Here is a 7363-nt window from a genome sequence, read left to right on the forward strand (position 1 = left end):
CAACTTTATTGGAGTATAATTTACATACAGTAAAATTCATCCTTTTGAGGTTTACAGTTCAAGGAGTTTTGGTGAATGTTGTGTGCAGCCAACCACTCCCACCACCCCCTGCCCTTGGCCACCACTGATCTGATTTCTGTCTTTTCTAAATTTTATTATAAATGGAATCATACCGTATATATTCTTTTGTCTGGCTTCTTTCACACTCACGCAGCATACTTTTTGAGCTTCATCCATGTTGGTGTGTGTGTTTGTGTGTGTGTGTGAGAGAGAGAGAGAGAGAGCATGCGGGCGAGAGAGAGCAGTATATTTCCTTTTGATTGCCGAGTAGTATTCCATTGTTTGGTTGGATCAGGGTTTGTTCAGCCATTCACTCACTGAAGGACACTTGGGTAGTTTCCAGCTTTGTGTGATTATGATGGAGCAGCTCTAAACATTTATATGCAAGCTTGTGTAAATGTGTGTCTTCATTTCTCTAAGGTAACCGCTTAGGAGTGGATTGTTCAGTCAAGTGGTAGATTGATGTTGAACCTGCCTTTGTCTTTGAACTGTGCAGGTCAGCTGGTCACACGGTGATGACTGCTGCTATCTCTGGATGTAGTCACGCCAGGTGAGTATTTGCTTTCTATTTGTCCTGCTTTCCCCATCTCTCTCCCCCACCTCCACTTTATTATTTTTTATTAGTGTTGTTATTACTTTGAGACAGGGTCTCACTCTGTTCCCTAGGCTGGAGTGCAGTGGTGTGATCATGGCTCACTGCAACCTCGACCTCCTGGGCTCAAGTGATCCTCCCACCACAGCCTCCCAAGTACTGGGACAACAGATGTGCCACCACCACACTTGATTAATTTTTTTTTCTTTTTTGGTAGAGGTGAGGTCTCACTATGTTGTCCAGACTGGTCTTGAACTCCTGGGCTCAAGTGGTGATCCACTGCCTTGGCCTCACAAAGTGCTAGGATTACAGGAGTGAGTCACTGCACCTGGCCTCACCCCCACATTGTATCAGTGAAGGTGTGTCTGGAGTTGGTTCCTTCCAGTGGGTTCTTGGTCTCGCTGACTTCAAGAATGAAGCCGCGGACCTTCGCGGTGAGTGTTACAGCTCTTAAAGGTGGCACAGACCCAAAGTGTGAGCAGCAGCAAGATGTATTGTGAAGAGTGAAAGAACAAAGCTTCCACAGCATGGAAGAGGACCCAAGCAGGTTGCCGTTGCTTGTGGGGGGCGGGGGGGGGCCAGCTTTTATTCCCTTATTTGTCCCCTCCCATGTCCTGCTGATTAGTCCATTTTACAGAGTGCTGATTGGTCCATTTTACAGAGTGCTGATTGGTCCATTTACAATCCTCTAGCTAGACACAGAAAACTGGTGCGTTTTTACAGACTGCTGATTGGTGCATTTACAATCCTTTAGCTAGACACAGAGCGCTGATTGGTGTGTTTACAATCCTCTAGCTAGACAGAAAAGTTCTCCAAGTCCCCACATCACCCAGGAAGTCTAGCTGGCTTCACCTCTCAAAGGTTCAGGGTAGGAAGCAGAAATTCCTCCCGTGATCATGAACAGAAAGGGATTCTGTAGAAGGGATTAGATGCTTACCTGACCATTGGATGGGCCAAAGGAGTGGACTCTGGGCTAGGTGTTGATAACACCAGTGCAGACCTGGCTCCTCAAGGGAGCTGCTACCTCTGCCACCATCCACAAGATGGGGGATTGGGAGGCGGCCAGTGTAACCTTTGAGTTCAAAAAGACACCACCAAAGTCATGACCTGAGGATCAGCAAGCTGGGACCAGGAAGCCATTGCTGCCACAAGTGCCCCTCAACAACCAAGAAGTGAAGGTTAGACCCCAGAAATTCTTTGATGTCCAGCAGAAACGCAGCCCCACACAGCAGAAGTGTGGCTTCCCTTCCTTCAGTCATCCAAACTTCATGTGAGCACACCCAATTTGGCAATTGGCAAATTTGCCAATTTGCCAATTGGCAAAACTAAATTTGCTTCCCAAAGTCCAGCTGCTCTGGAGTCTGGAACATTTCCAGCCTCTGCCATGCAGAGCCCACAAGGTGGGAGTGAGTGCCGAGAGCTGTCAATATGCCCAGGCAGATGCTCTGCTCTTGGTCATCTTTTAGATGGACTGGATTTGTTCTCTCATTCTATTTTCTCCTCTGTTTGTTTAGAAGTGCTCTATGAATTTTTTAGTAGTTCCTCTACCTATTTTAACATGCATTCTTAATAAAGTCTAAAGTTAACTAATACCTCTGCTCTGGTGGTTTTAATGTAGGTCCATAAATTATTTGATACTCCTGCCTTCAAAAGGTAGTGCTTAATTCTCCTCCTCTTGAGTATAGGCTGGACTTGGTGGCTCACTTTTTTTTTTTTTTTTTTGAGATGGAGTTTCGCTCCTGTTGCCCAGGCTGGAGTGCAATGGTGTGATCCCAGCTTGCTGCAACCTCCACCTCCTGGGTTCAAGCAATTCTCCTGCCTCAGCCTCCCAAGTAGCTGGGATTGCAGGCGTGGGCCACCACGCCCAACTAATTTTTGTATTTTTAGTAGAGATGGGGTTTCACCATGTTGGTCAGTCTGGTCTCGAACTCCTGACCTCAAGTGATCCACCTACCTCGGCCTCCCAAAGTGCTGGGATTACAGGTGTGTGAGCCACCACTTTTTTTTTTTTTTTTTTGAGATGGAGTTTCACTCTGTTGCCCAGGCTGGCATGCAGTGGCGTGATCTCGGCTCACTGCAACCTCCACCTCCTGGGTTCAAGCGATTCTCCTGCCTCAGCCCCCCAAGTAGCTGAGATTACAAGCCCCCACCAGCACGCCCAGCTAATTTTTGTATTTTTAGTAGATACGAGGTTTCATCACGTTGGCCAGGCTGGTCTCGAACTCCTGACCTCAGGTGATCCGCCCGCCTCAGCCTCACAAAGTGCTGGAATTTCAGGCTTGAGCCACTGTGCCCGGCCTCATTTCTTTTTTAAATTTTATTTTAGAAGTTGAGGTCCTGCTCTGTCACTCAGGCTGGAGTGCTGTGGCATGTTCATAGCTCATTGCGGCCTCGAACTTCTGGGCTCAAGTGATCCTCCCGCCTCAGCCTCCTCAGGAGCTGGGACCACAGGCACACACCACCACACCTGGCTCACTTCTGATGAAAAGAATAAAGCGGAAGCAATGGCTGCAGCTGTGGGGACTAGGTCACACAGGCACTGCTGCTTCCTCCTTGTTTTCTCTCTCTCTCTCTCTCTCTCTCTCTCTCGGATTGCTCTGTTGGGTGAAGCCAGGTGCCACATCGTGAGGACACTCAACAGCCCTATGGAGGAGCTCACATGGAGAGAAACAAAGGTCTTCCGCCAACAACCATGAGTGTGCCATTTTGAAAAGGATCCTCCAGCCCCAGCCAAGCCTTTGCATGACTGCAGTCATGGCCAGAATCCCACTGCAGCCTCACAAGAGCCTTTGAGCTAGAACAATCCAGCTAAGCCACTCCTGAATCCTGACCCACAGAGATTATGAGATAATAAATGGTTACTGTCATTTTGAACTACTGCATTTGGGGGTGATTTGGTTTGCAGCCACAGATCACTAATACATCTTCCCTCCTCCTACACAATGCACGGCCTGGGATAACATACTAGCCACATGAGGTGGGCCCTATTATCATGTAGGAATGAGGAAGGCAGTGAGCTCAGATATGTGGACAGGAACCCAGGCAGAGTCAGCCGTCTGAGCTTTGGGAAGCCTGGTTTTCAGTAGCTCTAGGGACTTACCCACACCCCCACACTCCCACCCCTGAACTGCTATTATGGTGCTGTAGCCCCCACGGTGCCTGTCACTACCCACCAGCTGCTGTCCCCTCTCCTCTGTGTCCATCTTTTCTTCATGTCTTTGCTTCTCCTGGCATTCTCCTGCTTTGTGACAAATACCCGTGGCTTTTTCTGCACATGTCTTTTGGCTTCTAATCTCACTGCAGTTTCAATTCCAAGAGAGAGAAACTTATGGGCCCAAATACTCATTATCCTCATTTTGGTGGAGCCTTCATGCCAGGTAACTTCGTAGGCAACTAACCAGCCTATGGACTAGCTAGTCTTGGCCAGGTGCGGGCTCCTGGTCCAGGCAGCTGAGGCCAAGGTTGGTTCAAGCTGTGTGATAGGCAGTATGGCCATCTGTTATGGACTTAATGTGTGTGTACCCCCAAAATTCGCACGTTGAAGTCCTAACCCCCAGATGGAGCAGATAAAGAAGAACAGAGAGGCTGGACATGATGGCTCATGCCTATAATCCCAGCACTTTGGGAGACCAAGGTGGGCAGATCACCTGAGTCCAGGAGTTTGAGACTAGCCTGGGCCACATGGTGAAACCCCATCTCTACAAAAAATACAAAAAATTAGCCAGGCATAGTGACACACGCCTGTAGTCCGTTACTCGGGAGGCTGAGGTGGGAGAATCACTTGAGCCTTGGTGGGGAGGCTGTAGTGAGCCGAGATTGCACCACTGCACTCCAACCTGGGTGACAGAGTAAGACCCTGCCTCAAAAGAAAAGAAAGAAAGAGAGAGAAGGAAAGAAGAAAGAAAGAAAGAAAGAAAGAAAGAAAGAAAGAAAGAAAGAGAAAGAAGGAAAGAAAGAAAGAGAAAGAAAGAAAGAAAGAAAGAGAAAGAAAAGAAAGAGAGAAAGAAAAAGAACACAAGAAAAGCACTGTTCCCTCCCCTCCACCACTGCCCCTACCATGTGAGGACACAGTGAGAAGGTGGCTGTCTCTAAACCAGGAAGACAGCCCTCACCAGAAGTGGACCCTGCCAGACCTTGATCTGGGACTTCCAACCTCCAGAATTGTGAGAAGATAAATTTCCATTGTTTAAGCCACCCAGTCTGTGGTATTTTGTGATGGCAGCTGGAGCTGACTAAGACACCACCAATGGGTAAGTCACTGGCTAGTGGTGCTGCTGCAGCAGGGAGTATGTCTTGGTGGGCATCTTGCTCGACCTCTCCTATCTAACCACACTGAAGTCATGCATTCCCTTGTTTTTCTTTATACTAGGCCCACGAAACCCCATGCTTTGAAAAGAATTGCTTGTTTGCCTTCACCACTCCTCCTCACAGCCTGGAGGTGATCATGTTACTGTGTAGACTGGTATCCCTAGGGACTTATGGGCTCCAAACAAGCTGCCCATGAATATCACAATCCTGTCACATGCCCTTAGCCAGCCCTGCTTCCCTTCCACGCAGTGCACCGGCTGGGTGCAGTGGCTGATGCCTGTAATCCCAGCACCTTGGGAGACCAAGGCGGGCGGGTCACTTGAGGTCAGGAGTTCGAGACCAGCCTGTCCAACAAGGTGAAACCCTGTCTCTACTAAAAGTTTAAAAAAAAAAAAATTAGCCGGGCATGATGGGGCACCTGTAATCCCAGCTACTCGGGAGACTGAGGCAGGAAAACCAGTTGAACCCAGGAGGCGGAGGTTGCAGTGAGCCGAGATCATGCCACTACACTGCATCCTGGGCAACAGAGCAAGACTCCATCAGAAAGAAAGAAAGAAAAGAAAGAAAAGGAAGGAAGGAAGAAAGGAGAAAGTGACAGATTAAGCACATACATTCACTTTCTCTTCCTCATGAAATCCCACCAAAATGACAGTAAATGACTTTTTAAAAAGAAAAACTCCCAAGGACAGAAATAATGGGAAAATAGAAAACAGCAGCAAAATCATGGGAGCTGAATTTCACTGCGGAACCCACACGCATCCAGAAAATGGGGGTGAGTATGGAAGTGCCATTAAAAGTCTGTTGAAGAGGCAGTCAGATCTCCACATGCTTTTCCCCATCCCAACGGAACAGAATGTTTATTCTTTGGAGATGATGAAACAAAGAGTGTTTCAAGTGGGGAGTACCAGGAACAGCTTAGATGGCACCATACTAAAAATGAGGGGGTTAAATAAATATTTACCTACTGAATTTGGACCACTTTGGACCCTCCTGGCCCACTCTGTTTCTCAAGTGCTGACAACCAGCCTCAGGCAGCAGGCTAAAGATCTATCTCTGGGTATTTGGCCATCCCAAGGTGAACGAAAAGGTAGTAAAATTGGGGTTCTCCAATAAAACCAGCCCCGCTACATCATCCTATGATGAAGCTCATAGTTGACATGTCCTTCCTTTTCAATCAGCTCATTAGTGCCCCATTCTTTTTTTTTTTTTTTTTTTGAGACAGAGTTTCGCTCTTGTTGCCCAGGCTGGAGTGCAGTGGCACAATCTCGGCTCACTGCAATCTCCACCTCCCGGATTCAAGCGATTCTCCTGCCTCAGGCTCCCAAGTAGCTGGGACTACAGGTGCGTACCACCATGCCCAGCTAATTTTTGTATTTTTAGTACAAACAGGGTTTCACCATGTTGGCCAGGATGGACTTGATCTCTTGACCTCAGGTGATCCGCCCACTTCGGCCTCCCAAAGTGTTGGGATTACAGGCATGAGCTGCCATGCCCAGCCTGCCCCATTCTTAAATATGAGAAGACAACCAAGGATCACCAGACACCTGAGGAAAACCTTTAGCATGAAAGCAGGAAAGATCAAAATCAAAACAAACAGGAAAACAATTGTTGGGAAACACGACTATGAGAGGTAATAATTTTTAAAACTAGGCTGGGCACGGTGGCTCACGCCTGTAATCCCAGCATTTTGGGAGGCCGAGGGGGGCAGATCACAAGGCCAGGAGTTTGAGACCAGCCTGACCAACATGGTGAAACCCCGTCTCTACCAAAAAATACAAAAATTAGCTGGGCGTGGTGGCGCATGCCTGTAATCCAAGCTACTCAGAAAGCCGAGGCAGGAGAATTGCTTGAACCCAGGAGGCGGGGCTTGCGGTGAGCTGAGATTGTGCCATGGCACTCCAGCCTGGGCGACAGAGCGAGAATCTGTCTCATAAAAAAATTTTTTTAAAAAGAATTTTTAAAGCTATTAACTCACTCAGGGAGATAATAGAATGTAAAAATATCCATGAATCAAGAATAGGATGCTATAAAAAAGGAACATTCAGCGAACAAACAAGAGTTTTTTGTGGAAGCATACATGAAAAATTCAATAGATGGATATTTTTCTTCTAACAAAATACAGAAAGTTGCAAGACAACATCACTCCCATCCTAGCTACAAGAAGCTGGATAACCTACAAATCATAGGATTTTTTTTCTTTTAAGGCTATCGGGAAGCTGAGGTTGGGGGGAAAAAAAATCAAAATCTTGAAAAGCCCTTTCTAGGAGAAAAGAGCCCCATAGCTGCTTTGATTTTTGGCACAGCAGCAGCAGGAAGAGGAGGCTGCCACAGACTTGTGTACAAAAGAAACAGAGAAACTCTGAACACATTTTAAAAGGCTGAGTGTGCGACGGCATGAGGCTA

The sequence above is a fragment of the Homo sapiens genome, chromosome X (assembly GCF_000001405.40).
Source record: "Homo sapiens chromosome X, GRCh38.p14 Primary Assembly".
Lineage (NCBI taxonomy): Eukaryota > Metazoa > Chordata > Mammalia > Primates > Hominidae > Homo > Homo sapiens.